The 21,139-nt window shown below is 43.1% G+C and overlaps 1 protein-coding gene and 1 long non-coding RNA gene across 29 annotated transcripts in view; one reads left to right on the forward strand and one right to left on the reverse strand.

Annotated features, from left to right (window-relative positions):
• CELF2 (CUGBP Elav-like family member 2) overlaps positions 1-21,139 on the forward strand; it is an 874,126-nt gene that overhangs the window by 471,392 nt on the left and 381,595 nt on the right. For 5 of the 26 annotated variants that reach the window (XM_047424494.1, NM_001326319.2, XM_047424496.1 and 2 more), the window contains one exon: positions 6,476-6,513. The exons of the other annotated variants lie outside the window; for them this stretch is intronic. The gene's annotated coding sequence lies outside the window, so the exon portion shown is untranslated. The remainder of the gene's footprint in view (positions 1-6,475; positions 6,514-21,139) is intronic. 26 annotated transcript variants of the gene reach the window in all.
• LINC00710 (long intergenic non-protein coding RNA 710) lies at positions 999-18,222 on the reverse strand. Of its 3 annotated transcripts, NR_015413.1 has the most exons (6): positions 17,997-18,222; positions 13,505-13,615; positions 12,571-12,659; positions 12,084-12,153; positions 10,242-10,383; positions 999-1,472 (listed from the first exon to the last, which is right to left on the reverse strand). It is a non-coding gene; the product is annotated as a long intergenic non-protein coding RNA 710 (long non-coding RNA). The 3 variants fall into 3 exon arrangements; NR_024410.1 differs by lacking the exon at positions 12,084-12,153; NR_024411.1 differs by lacking the exons at positions 12,084-12,153; positions 13,505-13,615.

Raw genomic sequence — 21,139 nt, forward strand, 5'->3', positions numbered from 1 at the left:
CCTTTGCATATTTACCCAATAGTGGGATGGCTACATCATATGGCAGTTCTATTTTTAGATTTTTAAGAAACCTCCATACTGATTTCCGTAATGGCTATGCTAATGTACATTCCCACAAACAGTATACAAGGGTTCCCTTTCTCCAATCAGTGCCAGCGTTTCTTATTTTGCGTCTTTTTTGTAATAGCCATTTTAATTGGGGTGAGGTGATACCTTATTGTGATTTGCTTTGTTTTGTTTTCAATACCAGTAGGGGCATTGGAACAGGGTTAAAAATAGAATTCAAAGAGCACGTTAGCAAGGTTAATCTGATGGTAATCTGTAACATCTATCATGGTGGGAAGAGCCAGCAGCTTGTAAACTCCTCGAGGAGTGGCCCCAAGTCTACCGTGCTCACCTTTCTATCCTCAACACCTAGCATAGTGCCTCCAGCACACAACAGATGCTCAAATATGCATCAAATGAACTCATGAGTAAATGGGAGCTAAGAATCTTTCTGAATGGTTGAAGTGAGAGTAACAGGTGCATGAACAAGACTGCTCATTGTAGAAACAAAAACGAAATAGTTGATTACAGAAAATATTGGGGAAAACTAATCAATATTATTTGCTTAAACTCAGGCAATGAAGGAGGGAGCGAGCAGTCCACATGATTCTCACATTTCCAGTTTAGGAATGTCCTAGTATCATGAACAAAAACTAGGGATGTCTGGAGGAAGAGGCATTCATTGGAAATGCAGAGCTAGAAAGAGGGTTGTTTTTTACTGAGTTCGAGAGGGTGAGGGTTGAGGGGCAGTTCTGGATGTAGAACTTGATGTTTGAGCATTTAGTAAGAAAGCATCTTGTATGTTGTTTGCATGGAGGTTCGGTTGAAGTCATTTGGCACACCCAAATGGGTTTTGCAGTTGTCTTATCCTGGTGACATTCCCTGCTAAATTAGACAAGATGCAAATTTGATAGAGATTCCTTAAGAAAAAATAATGTTACTGCAGAGATAAATGCAATACTCAAAAGGATTTTAATTTCTTCTGGTAATTTCTCAGGAGAAAACGGAAAAAGGACTTCTCTGGGGTGACTTCATCATAGACTGTGCTTCTCTTTTGACCACCCACCTCAATTGCCATTTTTTCCTGACATTCACTGTGGAAATTTGGTGCACGACACTGTTAGGGGAGATCTGTTGGCAACAGAATCGTGTACGCTGCTTGTTCTCATCTGGCCTTTCACACCTTGGCCTGGTATTCTTTGGCTTATTTTGTCATGTCTGGGGTTTCATCTGTTCTGGGTTCTTGCCTGAAGCTCTGGCAGATGACAGTGTTCAGCTGAGAAAGTCCTATCCAACTGCAACTTCCATGATGCAAGAATTTCTCTTGAATACCAGGGTGAATGGAAACCCAAGATTCACGAGACATTGTAGCTATTCATTTTGTCACCTTGCTTCAGTATGGCCTAAGTGTCCTAAATTAAAAATTCCTATAAAAGAGCAGAGATGAGTTTGAGACAGTGCTTTGAGAGAAACTTAGGCATAACAGGTAAGGGAAAATAGGTCATACAGTGGCTGGTAACTAATATGGCATATCATCCCAAGGGTTGTTGAGCCACGAGGACTTCACATTTTGTTTGTTAATGTGTGTGGCCACTCATACATCATACAGGGATGCCTGGGAAGTTAACAAAGATATGTTCCCATTTCTAGCAATAATAAAGAACAATCCTACTTTATAATTGGGAAATGAAATGCTACAAAAGGAATTAATCCCTGAAAAGCAAGATGGTATCACATTGATTTTTAGGAATTCTCATAATCCAGTGGTTCTGCAAATATTTCTTATAATTCTTCATCCTTTCTCTCTTCCACTCTCTCATAGATTTTTCTCCCTTCTCTGATATGCATGTGCCTTCTAGTTGACTTTTGTAAAGTAGAAAGAAATAATAAATTCTTGGATCACGCCTGAAATCCCAACACTTTGGGAGGCCAAGGCAGGTGGATCACCTGAGGTCAGGAGGTCAAGATCAGCCTGGCCAACGTGGTGAAACCGCATCTCTACTAAAAATACAAAAAAAAAAAAAAATTAGCCAGGCGTGGTGGCACACACCTGTAGTCCCAGCTACTCATGAGGCTGAAGCAAGAGAATCGCTTAAACCCTGGAGGCAGAGGTTGCAGTAAGCCAAGATTGCACCACTGCACTCCAGCCTAGGTGACAGAGTGAGACTCCATCTCACAAAAAAAATAAATAAAATAATAAAGAGAGAGAAAAGAAAGAAACAATAAGTCTTGCAGAGGTTAGAAAGAAGGTAAAGAAATGGTTACTTTGAATGGAGCAATAATCACATTTTAACATAAAGATTGTCCAAGATCACAGAGTAATCTGCATAATTGTGCAAAAATTCTCATGTTACATGACTGTTCTCCCTGCAGTATACACTCAGCCTGTTAGTTTTTGTATCTAGAATCCTAGAACCTTAGAGCTCCATGGAACCTGTTTTGCATCGTCTCCTTGTTTCACAGATGAATAGGCTGAAGATCAGACAGTGGAAACTAAGTCCTCATGACCACACTGTGTGGGATCACTGGACAAGCTAACATTTTCTTGGGGTGGATGGAGTCCAGTTATCATTGCAGGGCCTGTTCTTGGGGCAGAAGAGTCAGGAACCCTTTTAACTGCTTTCTGGTTGTCTGTACCTTTTCTCGCCACTACTTTGGTAACTTGTATCCCCCATCCCTGGGGACAAAATCTTCATTTCTAGCGTTTTCCACCATAACCTTGTTCTGGTGCTGAAACAAGCAAAAGCAAAGTGCTGAAACAAGTGTCGATGCTGGCATATCACAGTGTAGAATGGTGCTCCTCAAATTTAGGTGGCTATGGAAGTGACCGGAGGATTGTGTTTAAATGCATGTTCTGATTCAGCTGGTCTGGGGCAAAACCTGAAATTCTGTATTTCTGACAAGCTCCCACGGGGTTTCTGATGATTCTGGTCCTCAGACCATCCTTTGAGGAGCAAACGACTACAGAGCCACCAGTCCCATCTTTGAAAGAAGTAACCGACACTTGCCAAGTCTCTCATCCGGAGCTTTAAGAATTTGATGCTTAGGCTTCAATTACATCTCAATAAAAATGAATGAATGAATGTAATGCTTTTATTTATTCTACCTTCTTTCTTCTTTTTTGTTTTTCTTTTCTTTTTTTTTTTTTTTTTTTTTTCGTGACAGAGCCTCGGTCTGTTGCCCAGGCTGGAGCGCAGTGGTGCAATCTTGTCTCACCGGGAGGCAACCTCCGCCTCCCAGGTTCAAGCGATTCTTCTGCCGCAGCCTCCCAAGTAGCTGAGATTATAGGCAAGTGCCACCATGCCCAGCTGATTTTTGTATTTTTAGTAGAGACAGGGTTTCCCATGTTGGCCAGGCTGGTCTCAAACTCCTGACCTCAGGTGATCCGTCCACCTTGGCCTCCCAAAGTGCTGGATTACAGGCATGAGCCACCGTGCCTGGCCAATTCTACCTTATTTCTGATTGGCTTCTTCCCATTTGTTTTTTGAGAAGATGCTACAAAGCATTTTGGAAACTGGTACTGCAGGAGTAATTTCTCTTCAAACTCTGAGTTACTATAAAACAGCTGTGGAATCCTGTGGATTGAAAAGAACTTGAGAAAGGCAATATTCTGTTACTGAGCTTAGGATACAGTATCATATTAGGATACAGTATCAATCAAGATTTGACTTTCAATTCTGAGTTTGTGATGAGTAGCTATAATTGACAGAGTGACAGAAGTTTTTATATTAGTGTTTATTTTACCAATGTGAAGTGTTATTTGTGTGAAGTAATTGAGTTCCTAGATGTTCTCATTCTGTATCAGTGGCTGTAGACAGTGTAAGTCTAGATAGCATGATAGTGTATGAATGTATATATATATATGGAGGGAGGGAAAGAGGGACTATGAATTAACCATAGTTTTGAAATTGATTCCTGGAAACTGACATTTATTGACTGCACAGGTGTTAAAATTGTCTTTGTTTTATTTACTCCATATGAACTGAAAAGTATTAGAGAAGCAAAATTCTTCTCTACTTTCGACTCTATTCCCATTCAGTCTATCCCCTCAACTAAAGTAAACTGAGGTATCTTAGATATAGAAATCTAATTTGGAATAACTCAAGAGAGATAGAGGGGAGATGGGTAATACTGAATATGCAGAATTCAATCATAGAAAACTAATCACTTTAGTGAAAAGCCAGCTGTTCTTTGTTTTCTAATGGGCATGTGATGTTGATGAAAAATAGCATTCAAGTAAAGTTTACCAAGAACAACTGGTTTGATTCAAGGTATTATATTATTTTGCAGTATAGGAAATGTTATTTAGATTTAACAAAGGGCTGAACAGAGCAGCCAGTCCAAAGACCCAAATACCAAAGGATTATCTTTAAATTTAGAGAATGAAAAATGCAAGAGCATTGTATTTTGGGCATCAGATGATAATTCTTTCAGAGAATATGCCTGGGTTTTTGTGTCCTTCAAATTTCGTTTGAATGAACATTTTATGGATTTTTGTGACACTGAGGGATATGTTAAAATACCATTGCAAACATGTCAGGCAACTCAAGTTTAGAAGATTCTCAACTTGAATTATTTTAGCATTCTGCTATTTGAATTACTTGGGGGAAAACAGGAGTTGTATGACAATTTGGAGGTCCTTTTCTTTGTCTCCCAAGTGAGTTTGTAGGTTCACTGAATTTCCCCAAAGAAGATCCTGAGACAAGAATTTGAGTCTAAGGACATGAGGGAGGGGGATGTGAGACAGGAATGGGGGAGGTCAGCAAAGCCTGAGTGTAGGTGGGTTAGTGCCTGGACAACTCAGGCTCGAGCCCGCTGGGGACCCCGTGAAGCACTGCCCCACCGAGGGACGCAGAAGCAGCTGTCTTTTTCCATCTGCCCTGCCTCTTGCTAGTTGAAGTCACCCCAGGGGTGTTTGCTCTTGTGTGCATCTGTCTTTCTCCATGCCTAGGCCAAGCGCTCCTGCAGCAGCAAAATCCCTCTCTGAAAGTCAGAAAGCCTGAGATCCACAAGCTTCTTGGGGAGGGATCTGCAGACGACCTTCAGGGCAGGCTGAGGTCATATAGGCAGGGCCCTGACAGTCTCCACCTTATCAGTGTGGCCGCTATTGTAACCCCATCACCTAGGCTGTAGTGCTTGATAATTAGCAAGTTATCAGTGTGGCCGCTATTGTAACCCCATCACCTAGGCTGTAGTGCTTGATAATTAGCAAGTTATCAGTGTGGCCGCTATTGTAACCCCATCACCTAGGCTGTAGTGCTTGATAATTAGCAAGTTCTTTTGTTTTGTGGTGTTGTTGTTGTTGTTGTTGTTGTTGTTGAGACGGAGTCTCGCCTGTCACCCAGGCTGGAATGCAGTGGTGTGATCTGGCTCACTGCCACCTCTGCCTCCTGGGTTCGAGCGATTCTCTTGCCTCAGCCTCCCAAGTAGCTGGGATTATAGGCATAAGCCACCACGCCATGATAATTTTTGTATTTTTAGTAGAGACAGGGTTTCACCATGTTGGCCAGGCTGATCTCAAACTCCTGACCTCAGGTGATCCACTCACCTTGGCCTCCCAAAGTGCTGGGATTACAGGTGTGAGCCACCCTACTCAGCTGATAATTAGCAAATTCTTAATAAGTGTTTATTCAATGAAGGGAGGGAAGGAGAAAAATGAATGATTCAAACAGAATCGGAAAAGCCAGGCCGGGCGCGGTGGCTCATGCCTGTAATCCCAGCACTTTGGGAGGCCGAGGCGGACGGATCACGAGGTCAGGAGATCGAGACCATCCTGGCTAACACGGTGAAACCCCATCTCTACTAAAAATACAAAAAATTAGCCGGGCTTGGTGGCGGATGCCTGTAGTTCCAGCTACTAGGGAGGCTGAGGCAGGAGAATGGTGTGATACTAGGAGGCAGAGCTTGCAGTGAGCCGAGACCGCACCACTGCACTCTAGCCTGGGTGACAGAGCGAGGCTCCATCTCAAAAAATAAAGAAAAAGAAAAGCCAGTATTGGCAACATGTCAGGCAGCGTCCATAGACAGATCAATGATTAGAGATAGTTTTTGAAAATAGCATTTTACTTCTGATTAGGGTCCCCAACCTAATATCTAAATTTTATGCTTGCCAGGTTTATTATGTGTGTGGAGGTGGGAAAAGAAAGAAAAAGGGTTGGCACGAGAGAGCACATAGCTCTATATGTCAGCTACCTTAACTCTAAAGGGTGGCACTTGGGGGAATTATACTTTTCACATCAATAGTTATACCCGGGTTTTTTTGTTTTGTTTGTTTTTTTACAAGATTAGCATATGTTTATGTTTGATTATTCAAGATAAATCAGTTCCCAGTGTTCTGGGCAGTTCATAGGTCTCAATGAATCATTGAAGAACTGTAGATAATCCCTGCTAAGTCCCACAAAAGCAGCTAACTTGCTCCTTTGTCATGCAGGGAAAGGAGTAGTGTGGACTGAGGAGTGCATTTTTGAGGTAAGGATGATGTCCAGCATCCAGACAAAAATGAAAAAATTGTCACTTGGACATTTACAAGTGTCAAGAGGTTCTGTGTCACACAAATGGCTTTGTTTATGTTCTACTAACATATTTGAATGAAGTATACAAAATTCAGTAACTCATATGGCTATCTTAAATGCATGGCACTAAACATAGAAACATCTAGGAATAGCATGGGATTGCTTTCCTTTATTATTCTGGTAGCTCTCATTATGTACATAGTAGTTGTAACCTGAGAGTGTGTCTGTCTGGCCAAGCATAAATCTCAATGTGTTCATATGTGTAGTGTATGTATGTGTGGCATGAAGGGTAGGGAGAAGAAGGGTTGCAGAGAGCTTTTCCTTCCAAAAATATATATGTTTTTGGCTTATTTGATGGTTTTGATCATCTGTAACTTTTGTAGCAATCATGATTTCTACATGATTCAGTGAATTACCCTGTAGTACTAATGTAAAACCTCAAAAGGCCATTTCTCTACCAAACATCTAAGTATGCCAACTGTGTTAACTTCATAACTTATAGTCAGGGTGATCTTTTATCTTCTTCACGGGGTCCTGAGTGATGTTGTTCTAGCGAAACAACACCAGAGGAAAAGGGGGCTCACAGAAAAGCAGCATTGAGCATGCAGAAATGTAAAGTATCTGCAAAGGGTTAATAAGTTAGAAATACATATTCCCTGCAAGAAACAAGAGCAGAAGGAGCTTGGCAATGATTACTTTCTCTTTTTTTCTGGAGGAGTGAAGAAATGTGCTACGGAGACACCATAGCCAACTTGGACTGAGAGTGCTGGAGTGTTTTCCTGCCCCCAGGGTCCTGATGCCATCCCCCTCTCTAGGCCTCCCTTGACCCTGGAACTGGGTGGCAGGCCAGCTACAGAGGAGTGTGGGAATTCAGTCCATAAACCCTTGGTTTCTTCTCGCAGGACTCCCAGCTCCTCTTGACAATTTCCTCATACTGATTTATTGATTTAATTTCTGGTTGGCAGTGGTAGTAGTTATAAAGTAAATTTACCCCAGGAAAACAAGATATTTTGGGAGTTCACTAATGCTAACGCTGCACTTGGATCCTAGAGCCACTTTGCATCTGCCCAAATCAGCTAGAGAAAACAACAGCCAAGTGACACCCAGCAAGCAGCAACAACTCGTCTCTTCCATTTACTCAGTTGGGATAGTAGGAATAGAAGGATATGCGTGTTACTTTCCTATTAATAGTTAACCTTAGAAATCAAAAGTTGACCAGGCGCAGTGGCTCATGCCTATAATCCCAGCACATTGGGAGACTGAGGTGGTTGGATCATTTGAGGTCAGGAGTTTGAGACCAGCCTGGCCAACATAGTGAAATTCCTTTTCTATTAAAAATACAAAAATTAGCCAGGTGTGGTGGCAGGTGCCTGTAATCCCAGCCACTGGGGAGGCTGGGGCAGAAGAATTGATTGAACCTAGGAAGTAGAGGTTGCAGTGAGCCGAGATCACAGCACTTCACTCCAGCCTGGGTGACAGTGAGACTCTGTCTCAAAAAAAAAAAAAAAAAAAATCAAAAGTTAATAATCTTCATAACATCATGTTTGTTATCATGTATCATGCTTGAATTTTGACAACATAGTTTTCTGTCTTCATTTTGATTTGGGCCTCAGGAAAAAAAAAATTGTCTTGGATGTGATTCTTTTCTACTCTTGGATCATGCAAAAGGGTTAGCTTAGATGCAATATTGGTTATCTGTTTATGTATAAAAATGATTCCAAAAGTTAGCTGCTTAAAACAACAAACATTTGTTATCTCAGTTTCTTGGGGTCAGGAAATTGGGCACAGCTTTGGTGGGCACTCATGCCTCACCATCTCTCACAAAGCTGCAGTCAAGGGGGCTGTGATCTGCTATGAAAACTTGACTGTGGATGGATCTGCTTGCAAGCTCATTTGTGTAGTTGTTGGAAGGATTCCGTTTCTTATGGTCTATTGGAATGAGGGCCTTAGTCCCTGCCTTTCTGTTGCCTGGGACCACCCTCACTTCCTTGCCATGTGGGCCTTTCCATAGGGAAGCTGGCTTCCATTGTAAGAAACAAGAGAGAGAATAAGATCTGGCCACAAGATGGAAGTCATAGTCATTTTGTAACTTAATCTAATGACATGCCATCCCTGTTACTGCACTCTCTTCATTATAAATGAGTCATGAGGTTCAGCCCATATTCAAAGGAGGGATTATACAAAGACATGAATACCAAGAGGTAGGGATCACTGGGGGCCATTTTAGATGCTTTATACGCAGACTTGATTCTAAAATTGCTATATGATGGAGAGTTATTTTTGATGCAATAAATGCTAAGTTTTAGGACAAATTCTTAATTATTTGTGGTGATGTGGATTAATACCTTGAGAATGAAGACTAAATCATAGGGTCAAGAAAATATGATGATCAGATTAACTATTTCTTGGATAATTGGCAACAGTCCCATTGTGGCCAAAAAGGAACCAGAGTTTAAGCCAAGGGGAAGCTCAGGGCAGGACCCACAAGTATTGAACTATTTTCCAACAAGCCGGGATGCCCATGGAATTGAAGCTTCAGAAACTTATATTTGTACAATGAAATGCACCTGCTGCCTGTTAACCAACTCCTCTTCCTTGCCCCTCCTGTTGTCCTTCCTGTCTATATAAATCATTAACTTTATTGTTGGGGAGGGGACAGATTTGGGGTTTATCTCCCATCTCTCCAACTGATGTCATCTGAATAAGGTCTTCTTCCTGGCAATACTTGTCTCAGTGATTGGCTTTCTGTGCAGCCAGCAATGAAACCTAGACTGAACCTCTAGCGTTTGGTAAGAGTATCGCTATCAAGTTGCTACCTGTGAGGGGCAGAACTCCCACATGGGGCCAAAGGAAGAGTATTAGTTGACCTCTGGAAGGAAAAAGCCATGTGGACCCAAGAGCTACAGACAATGGGAGGAGCAGAAACTCATGTGCATATTTCTTACAAGGATGGGCAGATTAGGATAGGGAATCAAAGTCTTATGATCTAGGCATGTGCTAGGAAAGATTGAGATGCTCTAGAAGGACTCTGGAGCCTGAGGCAAAACACTGTTCTTGAAGAACTAGCTATATCAGCTACCAAACATTGCTCTTTTCTGTTTTTTGTTTGTTTGTTTGTTTGACAGAGTCTCGCTCTGTCACCCAGGCTGGAGTGCAGTGGCACAATCTTGGTTCACTGCAACCTCTGCTTCTCGGGTTCCAGCAATTCTCCCACCTCAGCCTCCTGAGTGGCTGGGATTATAGGCACACACCACTACTCCCAGCTTTTTTTTTGTTTTGTTTTTGGAGAGATGGCGTTTTGCCATGTTGGCCAGGCTGGTCTCAAACTCCTGACCTCAGGTGATCTGCTTGCCTCAGCCTCCCTAAGTGCTGAGATTACAGGCATGAGCCACCACACTCAGCCCCAAGATTGCTCTTTAATATGACTCTGAAACTTGACCATGTGAGGGTGGACCAGCCATGCCTTAAAAAGTAGTTCTCTACCCTCACAAGGGAAGGCAAGCTGAGTCCATACTTAACTATGAAATAACATAGTAGAAGTGAAGAGTCTCTTTTCTAGTATTGGGTCTATCTAGGTGTGTGACTTTGAGCCTTGTAAGTCACTTTAACTCACTAGTTTAGGTAACTGATCTGCAGTGTCCCTACCCCACCACAAAAACTTTACAGAAGTTGTCAGTGACTTACATATAGCTAGATCCAGTAGACACTTCAATGCATGTATTACTTGGTCTGTTGGCAGTATTTGATACCATTGAGCACCTCTGTCTTGAAACACTTTTCTCCTTGGCTGTAGATGATTTGGGAGTTACTGGCAAAACATTTTGACCTGCAGAAAATATTTTGCATGAGAAGAGCAGAGGATCTGAACTAGTCCACAGTCATCACAGGCACTAAGGATCAGGTGAAAGCGGTGCACACAGAAGCAGCCTTGGCCTCTGAGTTAAGAAGGAAGCCAGGGTGGAGTGGATTTGAAATGAGCTGGAACTGAGCAAATATAGGAACTTCATTTCATTTAAGAAGCTCAACTTTAGAGGGGGCAAGAGAGGTCCCCTCACAAGAATGGTAGTGAGCGGCACAGAATAAACTTGGAGGGAGGATTTTTTTTTCTTTTGTTTTTTTTTGTGACAGAGTCTCACTCTGTCACCCAGACTGGAGTGCAGTGGCGTGATCTCAGCTCACTGCAACCTCCACCTCCCAGGTTCAAGCGATTCTCATGCCTCAGCCTCCCGAGTAGCTGGGATTACAGGTGTGCACCACCACACCCAGCTATTTTTTTGTATTTTTATTAGAAATGGGGTTTCGCCACATTGGCCAGGCTGGTCCCGAACAACTGAACTCAGGTGAGCTGCCTGCCTCAGCCTCCCAAAGTGCTGGAATTATAGGCATGAGTCCCTGCATCCAGCCAGATGTTTCTTAAAGAGAGGAGAAACTTACTCATCTAAATGCATAGAAGGCATCAGGAGAGGGGAGAAGGGGGCAGAGTCCCTGAGAAGGCAAGAGGGCATGGGATCCAGGGCACAGACAGGATCAGCCTGAGAGGAGAGCCCAGGCTTCCATCTGAACAAGGATGGAAGCAGGAAAGCAGTGTGTGGATTCAGAGTAATGTGTGGGACTGGAACATCAGAGAGTCTTAGACATTCAGCCTAAGAACGGATGGGAGCCGTAGGTGCTAACCCAGGAGTGGGGATGCTGCCAGGGGACCCAGCATAGAAGCAGGGGGACAAGGTTGTTTGGTGGAGGGGGCAGCTGACAGCATTTCCCTCCTTCGGCTTCATGCAGTAGCCTTGGGCCTTGGCTGATGAGCAGGTCTTAGGTATCATGGGAGGGAGGAAAGCAGGTAACTTGCCCTGAGTACCTGCTCTCGGCCAGACCCCAGCATATGCCACCTATAGGCACCATAGCATTTTGTTAGGGAAGTGACAAGCCCCACCTGCGGCCTTCCACCCTGTAAGAGGAAGAGCCAGCTCTGCACCGAGGCCTGTTTGATTTCCAGTTTACACCACACTGTGTGTCCAGGACCAGAGACAAGCCGAGAACTACCTGGGCCTGACTTAGGTGGGCTTGCCAGCACAGCTTTGAAGGTGAAATCCATGTTTAGCCATCTAGGCAGTACAGGGAGCCTGTGAATGTCACTGTGGCTCAGTGGAGGCGGCCAGAGCTCCGGGAGCCCCTCTCTGGGTGTATCTGAGTAGTAAATGGTGTCGCTGACAGTCACTGGCATGAGCCCTGTGGTACCATTGATCCCACACACCTAATGTCCTGGGGGAGTCAACAGCGAGGGCCCCTCAGCAGCCACTCCAGGATAGAAGCCCCAGGAAAGGGGCTGTTAATGATGTTGACAAATTTCTGGCTGGGTTATTATGGGATGTTAATGCCTACCCTCAAACAATATGTTTCCACCTCCCACGTTTTCCCCCTGCTGGTTTGATTGAGAAAACCATAGCGACCAAAAGAGCAAGATTTATACAAATTGTGTAGCAGGGGATTGGGCTGTAGGCAGGGGAGCCCCCTTGGGGAGGAATTCACCTTTTCAAAGTAGAGGGGAACAGGTGCTCTGGAACTGGCACGTAGCTGCGAGAGGGTGGGGATGGCATTCCTGAAGGGAAAGGTTACCCAGATTAACAACACTCTGCTGAAAATGATGCCATCCTGGCTCTGTCATTAAAACAGGTGGCTGTCATTATGGCCTCTGGCTCATAATGGGAAGATAATATAGGCTGGGAGAGATTTATATGAGCTCCAGAAAGATGAAATTGCACATCAAGAAGGAAACAAGGCATAAAGAGGACCAATTTGGGGAATTTCTCTCCCCACTGGAATGCACGTGATACTCATTAAGGGTGTAGAAATTGTGTCATTCCATCCAGAGGGTTAAATTACCTACAGAGCTTTCATTTATTCAGGTTTTATTTAAGTAGCCTTTGGGGAAGACTCCTTTTTCCCTCTTTGGATGTTTTCCTTCAGTTTAAGAGAGTAGTAAGCATAAAAATGTACTGTATATGATAAAACTTACCCCTTTTCTTTCCCTGCAAATAATCTTGGCCTCTCAGTAGACTGTTGGAAATCAAAAGGTAGGGGGATATATGTTCTCTTTTTCTTTTCCTAAAGAGATAAAGTTTTAGTGTTTTTTTTTTATTTAATAAAGACTCACATGGTGACTCCCAGGCACTATTCTAAGCCCCTCACAAATGTTAATTCATTTAATACAATAATACTTCTAAGGTAAGTTCTTTTATTGACTCCATTTAGAGATGAGGTATAGAGAAGTATGAACCCTCTGTACTTACCTAAGTTCATACAACTAGGACCTCATGTGCTTGGCATTGCCACCCATGCAGATTTGCTCCAGAGACTATGTTCTTAGCTGCCACAATCCTCTGACTATACTATGTCTGTTTCCATTTTAACAGGCATTTAAATGACACATTTGTCCCATCTTTGAGTCTCTCTTCTGCCAAGAACACATTTTAAAATCTCTGCCTGTGAGGAGTTGTTGCATTAAGGTCGATAAGATGGAAGAATGGCAGCTGTGCTGGAGCAGACAGTGGTGTTTTCCATTGCATAGGCATCTTTAGAATGTGCAGTGCATGTCACAGGCAGGTCTGGAAGGCTTTGCTGTCCTTGCTGTGTGTAAGATCGGAGAAGGCAAGGAAACCTTCCAATCGTTAGAAGTGCACAGGCTCGCTTTCAAACACAAAAGCTCAGCACACACTTACTCTAACCAGTCCTTCACCTGCTGCACAAAATCATACCTTTCCATGCACAGTTGGAAGGACATTTCTCTGGCCATCCTGAGCACATTTTTTCCTGGAGATTTAGAGCTGATTGGGCACAGATGGGAGGCAGGGTTATTTACCATTTTACTCTCCCTCCCTGTTCACCATTTGACACAAGAAATGAACAGCTCTTTTGCCTTACAAGGCATAGCCAGATTGCCAAGTAATTACCTTGATTTATGAAGGCAGGAATAGAAGGTAGCATGAAACATCATTTGTAACTGGTGATGGTCAGATTAACATTCCCCGAATTTGTTGATTATTTCGTGTTGTGTTGAATTCCTAACAAGCATATGAAAGAGGAAATCAGTGTCCTATTGCCTCGGTGTCCTCAGTGCCTAGAACAATGCCTGGCTTTCAAGTTTACAGAATAAAGAAATGTATGAGGGGATGAGTGCCTACTGTGTAATCCCCGCTAGACACCTGAATACCTTCAACTTTCTGCTTTCAAGGTCATGAGTAGCGTAAGAAGACACATACACACATCTTCACCACAGAAGAAAAATATGGCATTTGAGGAGAGAGAAAATGCTTCTAGTATGGGGCCATAGGAAAGTCTTCATGAAGAGTGTATTGGAGCAAGCCAGCAGAGGAGAGGTGGGATCCCATAGGAGCTTGAGGCAAGAACGTCCAAGCATGGTAGAAAAATCACAAAGAATTGCCCTTGGGGTGTTAGATATGTACAGATCATGCAAGGGAATGAGAAAGCTGGATGTAGGTTTGGACACACTGTGTGGGTGCCCACTTTTCTTAATTCAGAAATTTAAACATTCCAGAGGGGCTGGGCCTCTGTATTTTGCCAGAAACCTGGGCTCATCAGATCATACAGCTGGAAAGTGGGCAAGTTCACATGGATGGAGAGAGGGATGGAAACCACTTCCATAATACAGCCTGGTCTGCACCTTCTTCACCCATAGTCCTCCAGTTCTGTATTCTTGGTCCTGTATTCAGTATCTCAACACAGACCTTGCTTCCCACCTGAGCTCATGCTGCATCTTCTCTAGCCCAGGAGGTGCCCTCTGGGAGTTTACATCCAGCCCTTACATGTCTCTCTTAGCCAGAGTAGTAGCAGAAAAATAGCTAGCCTCAGGAGCATGTCCTCTGAGCTAGGCCCAGAGCGCCCTGCTCTGGAGGGAAAGGTTTGGATGGTTTCTAAATTTGGGGGCTGCTGTCAAAGCCACACCCTCTCTTGTGATGACGTACCTTCTGTGTTGGGCCTAAGACTTGATGTTCTGCTATTTGATCAAGCTTTATATAAATTTGTGGGCTTCAATTTAACCTTTGGCTAAATTGGTTGTTTTCTGAACATTTCAGGAGGCTTCAAGAATGTTCAGGAAGCCAAGGCTACATGAAGCCCCCCTAGGCTGGGAGGGCTGCCTCTTTGCATGAAGCTCCATGGTTTCCTTTCTGCACAATAGTCGGAACCTCTGAGCCCTTCCTCTTCATTCTCTACCTATCCATATCCCTAAGACAGGCAGACCCTCTTGCACGGTGGCTATCATGTTTTTACGTTCTAAATCTTGGGGTCTTTCAAACTCTCCATGGTCCTTCTTATCGTGATCAAAACCCTGTCTGAATTCCTCTGCTGCTGGCATTGGCTGGCTCTGGCTTCCTGCAAAAACGCTTACCTGTCTCTGTACCCATCTAAAAGGTAAGTTTCCTGCTCCTGAGTGTGGAGAAGGAGGAGCAACTCCTTCACATGTTCCAGACACTGCCTGGACCTAGGTTCCCCCAAATGAACACGCACACACAAACAGCAGGTGACAGCAGTATTTACCCAGAGAGAATTGGAGGAGGTGAGGGGACCATCTCTGAGAGAGAGAAGGGAAATTCAGGGTGAAGATATTTGCATGTGAAGTCTGACTTCCTGGAGTTTGAGGGGGTCCTCTATACATGTGTTCCCTCCGTCTCCAAGGCCACCTCCTCTCAGCTTTCTCCATTGCATCCCCTTCCCATATTCTCTCTCCTTTCATCCCTGTGCCACTCCCAAAGCCCCTGCACTTTCCGGAGCAACGTATCAGTCCCCAAACCCCACTCATGTCATGTGGATGGCACAGCTTCCAGTGGGGCTGTGCCTCTAGTGATCTCCCCAGACCTGGCGTCACCACTGTGGATAAGAGAGATGGGACACCCAGTGCCATGGTGGAGGCCATCATGCCGCAGAGGAGGGTGGCAGAAGCTTCTCAAGCAGGAATGCATTAAGTTTTGTTTTGTCTTTTAAAAACCTCACCCAGAGGCCAGGCATGGTGGCTCATGCCTGTAATCTCAGCACTTTGGGAGGCCGAGGCAGATGGATCACTTGAGGCCAGGAGTTCAAGACCAGCCTGGCCAATACAACAAAACCCCATCTCTACTAAAAATACCAAAAAAAAAAAAATTAGCCAGGCTTGGTGGCAGGCACCTGCAGTCCCAGCTACTAGGGAAGCTGAGGCATGAGAACCACCTGAAGCTGGGAGGTGGAGGTTGCACTGAGCCAAGATCACACCACTGCACTGCAACCTGGTTAACAGAGTGAGACTGTGTCGCAAAACAAAACGAAACACACACACACCAAAAAAAAAAAAAAAAAAAAAACTCACCTACAAATTCAAACTCACTTTACATGACTTGGATCAGTTTTGGCTGAAAACCCTTATTTTGTCTACCTGAGACACTCACATTCTTTTCAGGTCGATGGAACTTTGCCTTTTTCAATGCTAAAAGGGCACAGCATTCCCTTTCTAACCTTTGGTTGCTTGACAGTCTTCTCTGATTACCTTGGCAATGCCTGGGACCATGTATCATCACACCTCTCTCCCCTGATTCCTGAGTTTATCCCCTGGCTGCAAGAGGCGAGTTGAGGGTTTGCAGCTTCCCTGGGTTTCCCTACCTTGACCTTGTCTTCTTGAAGACAGGCAGGAAGTTTGCACTGGGAAAGGGCCAGGGCCTGAACCGTGGTTTCTGAATCTTGGAGTTGCTAGAACCCCAGAGGTCATTACTAAGAAGAACCCAGTGCAGTGTGTGTGTCTGAGGACGGGAGGTGCAGGTGAGAGAATGGCCACTCTCATGTGCTTCTCTCTGTGGTCCCAGCGAGGTCTGGGTCTGAACAAATGGGGCAAAGGGCTCCAAAGAGTCAGGATTTCACATGGGGACCTGGATAAAGACAAAGGAAATGTGTGATGGTCTCATAAATAGTGATAACTGCAGGAGGAAGTGATACCGTTCTTAATGTTCATTTTATTCTGTGTGTGCGAGGGGATACGTATGATTTCTTTAATAGCGCCTTATCATGGGACTGCCTCACTCAGGGACATATAGAAGAATGGCAGAATTGCAAGGATTTCATGAGGGTGACATGAAGAGGGACTCTGGGGACCACGATTCCCCATTGCTGCTGCCCTCTTTTGGAAATTAGATATCGTTTACTTATTTATCATTTTTGCACATAGCATTGCAACTTTCCTGATTAAATTGCCTCGGGGCACAAGTACAAAATATGAAAGTTCAGTTAAAGTGTCTAAGACAGAAGAGCAGCAGCTATCAGCATGTATTAAATACGCCTCTACTGCAAAATGCCTCTTGCAAAAAGTGTGTCATCCTTGGCATCTGGAAATCTAGGCCTGTGCTGAGCCAAAGGAGAATTTCCACAGAAAACACCTTGGCAGTCAAAGTTAAGAACAGTCAGATTTGAGCATTGTGGTGTGTGTATGTTGTAGTGGTTATTCTCTCATGATAGGACTGTGGTAACTCATGAAAATAGCTCCTGTCCCAATTTCAGACCCCTCTATTTCATGATTTGTTATTTAGCTAGACACTTGGCGTCTACAAAAACCAGTTACCAAAGCCATCAGAACAAATTCTTCAAACCACTCGGAACTCAACTTCAGCACCATCCTCCTTTTTCTTTTCTTTTTAGAGATGGGGTCTCACTCTGTTGCCCAGGCTGGAGATACGATCATAGTTCTCAGCAGCCTCGACCTTTTGGGCTCAAGCCATCCTCCCACCTTGGCTTTCTGAGTAGCTGGGACCACAGGCATGCACCACCACACCCAGCTATATTTTTGTAGAGACAGGGTTCTTGCCACATTGCCCAGGCTGGTCTTGAACTCCTGGGCTCAAGTGATCCACCTGCTTTGGCCTCCTGGAGCACTGAGATTACAGTCATGAGTTACTACACCTGGCCCTTCTCCAACACAAAAAAAAGATTTTTATAGTATCAAATATTCAAGCCCTTCATTGTAAAAAGTTTCTGTTTGGTGAACAGACACCAGCAAAGGGGAAGGGTGATTGAGTGGCTGAGGATGGCTCCATGCCATTTTACTCCTCCAAGGACATTAGTTTTAAAGGTTGAAAACCACAGCCCTCCCAATTCACCCGGTGTTCAGTCTTTCCACTTCGCCTAGTGTCTCCCCATCAGAGCCAGCCCTTGAGTAAAGAAGAAAGAAAAAGGTTCATGCTTTTCCATTTAAATCAAACTCTACTTAGAAAGACAGGAGAAGAAATAAAGAGATGCCTTGTGTTCTATCCACCTACACAACCCACCCCCAGCCTTTCTCCTCCCATGGGCCCAGCAGCCCAAACATATTGAAGTCAGCATCAAGCTGGCACAAGAGGGGAAGAGGCGTTCGGTGTGAAGAGACCTGTGGATCCCATCTCCAAAACTCCAGGCACCTCCTACACTGACCAATGGCTCCTCGGTCTTCTGCACGCTGAGCTGCTGGGATTGGCCGAGAGGCCACAGAACACCTTGGACTCTATGATCCCAGAGAGAGGGGAGAGTGGAGTCCAGGTGGCACCCACTGCCCGAGCATCATGTTCGGTGGCTACCCTGAGTCATTGACTGAAGCCCCAGAGCTTCTCTGCAGGCATCCAAGGGGCGTATCTTCAGATCTTTTCAAATGTCAGAAAATGGCAACCGGGAATTATTATGCCAGCATTACCACGTTGGTTGTACGATCTAAGAAAATAACCACGTCACAACAAACTCATTATCCTTCCCCCCTGAAGTTCCGCACCCATGATGCACTTTTCTCATCACAGCTCTGTGATCCAGACCAACTCTGAAAAGAGCCGGACTCCCATGCCTTTGAAAAATGGGGTATTGGACCAAACCCCAAAGATAGGAGCTACAGTCGTGCATGGCTTCAGGGCTGGAGCCTCTTGAGGTGGAGGAGGAAATTATGAAAAGAGAAGAAAGACAGTGAGCGAGCAAGGAAGTCAGGAATGAAGGCTTCCAGCCATTGGACTCAGGAGAGGAAGTTAGAGCAGAATAGATTCCCGGAGAGTAGCTTTTCCTGGCAAGTCCCAGAGTCTCCACAGGGTGTTTCCTTCTCTATATAAATAGATACTTTAACATCTGTGCATGTCTGTGTCTATCTACATATATTTATTTATAAAGAATTAATGAGTATGAGATGGTCCAAAAAAAAAAAAAAAGAGGTGGGGGATTGTAGTTATTTAAGGAGCTGCTTTAAGTTTATTTTTAATCAGCCATTTGTATAATGTAATTATGGCCAATGGCCTTATAGGAGAGAAGTGTAGTTGAAAAAGGAAATTAAGCAAAGATAGAATAGATAAATGATGCCTGACTGTTTTTCACCATTTGGTCCATATGTAATTAATTTTCCTCATTCCTCCCGTAATCAGGCATCCAGAATTATCTCTACATTTTTAAAGGGCTCAGGTTTGCTTGTAGTAAAAGATGATGCTACAGAACAGATTGGTGAGTTGGTTCAGATGTCTCCATAATGGAAACACAGTCATAAAAATGCCATCACCTTCACATTGTGAGAAGATAAAATGCAATGCTCATCATGGATGAATGGTTACTCTCGTTCTGTCCTCGAGCCACAATCAATTGTACATCATTAACAAGACACAAAATCTTTACTAATTAGCTTTTATGATTATATTGTTATTGCATTGAGGCTTTTAAAGCATTGAAAATCAAGGAGATAGGATGCCCACAAAAGAGAATTCCGTGGCAAGGGAGGAAAATACAGTCCATCACTCATGTCATTTCAGAAACTTTCACTCTATACCATCTATAATTACCATCTATAATTTTTAGCTCAATTCACTGTTCAGATTAATATTTTTGGTAAATGAGTGACAACTGGTAAGGAGAGGGAGAAGAATATTGAGTGTGCTTTCACACCCAAAAGAAATTTAGCTGCTGAAGTTATCTAACAAGAATAATTGTTCATTTTCTCTTTGCTTGAAATCTTCAAGACTGCTGTTATAAATCCTACCTACACTTTCTTGTATATTGTTCTTCTCTAAGTGTAAAAAAATACAATTCACCCAGTTAAAAAGAAGTTAGAGCCATACCTTCCACCAGGATGAATTTCAAATGGATCAAAGACTTAAATGAAAAATACAAAATAATAAACTTAGAAGGAACCATGGGAGAATTCTTTCATGATATCAGAATGGGAAAGCCTTTTTGAAACCATCAGACAAAACCCAAAAGCCGTAAGAGAAAAATTAGATAAATTCAGCTACATTTTGAGAAATTCTGCTTGGCAAACTAAAATATACAGAACAAAAACATCACAAGCAAAGTAAAAAAAAAAAAATGACAAACCAGAAAAAAAATTTGTAATTCCTCTATTTCATAGGCCTGCTATTGAAAATATATCAAGGGTTGATACAAATCAAAATAGCAAATACTAGTAGACAAATAGAGAAAGAGGCAAAGGGTATGAATAATCATTTTACAGGAAAAGGTATTGAAATTATTTTAAAACATGTGAAAAGATGCATCACACACTCCTAATAAAGCAAATGCAAATTAAACTCCATCGTGATACCACTTTTTGATGATCAGATTGGCAAAAGTCAGAAAATTTGACAACAGATTGTGTAAATGATGGGGTGAGAAACAGCCTCCCCTCTCCCACTGTGGATAGGAGCATAAATTGGTACAAAATCTATAGAGGGCAATTTGGCAATTTATTTATTATTATTATTATTATTATTATTATTATTATTATTATTATTATTATTTTGAGATGGAGCCTTGTTCTGTCGCCCAGGCTGGAGTGCAGTGGCATGATCTTGGCTCACTGCACCCTCCACCTTCCAGGTTCAAGGAATTCTCCTGCCTCAGCCTCCCGAGTAGCTGGAATTACAGGCGCATGCCACCATGCCCAGCTAATTTTTGTATTTTTTTAGTAGAGGCAGGATTTCACCATGTTGGTCAGGCAGGTCCCGAACTCCTGACCTTGTGATCCGCCCACCTTGGCCTCCCAAAGTGCTGGGATTACAGGCGTGAGCCACCGCACCTGGCCAATTTGGCAACTTCTAACAAAATGTCAAATGTACCATTTTCCCGATCCAGCAATTCCACTTCTAGGAATTTGTCTCACAGACACATTTGTTCGAAAAGACTTATTTAAAAGTTATCTAATCCTGCACCGTTTGTAGAAGCAAATGGTAGAAAACATCCTCAACACCTGTCAATAAGGAACTTGTTAAATTATGAACCATCAATTCAATGGAATACTATGATTCTGTAAAGTAAAAATAATGATGTTCTTTACTGATTTGAAAACATTCCATAAGACATATGATTGAGTTTTTTTAAAAAGCAGCATATAGCAAAGAATACATAAATATGCTATATCTTTTGTTCCAAAGGGAGAAAAAAATAATATGCTCATGCATTTATCGTTTTAAAAAGATAAATCATAATCCACAGTTCTTAGGTCAACTGCCTATTTCAAAGGCTCCAAATAGCTTAGCAATTTTATTTCTGTGATCTTTCCTTCTGGTTTGAGCAATCTGTGTAAGGTTAAATGTGTATTTTTTAAAGTATAATTTATT

This window comes from Homo sapiens, chromosome 10, assembly GCF_000001405.40.
Source record: "Homo sapiens chromosome 10, GRCh38.p14 Primary Assembly".
NCBI lineage: Eukaryota > Metazoa > Chordata > Mammalia > Primates > Hominidae > Homo > Homo sapiens.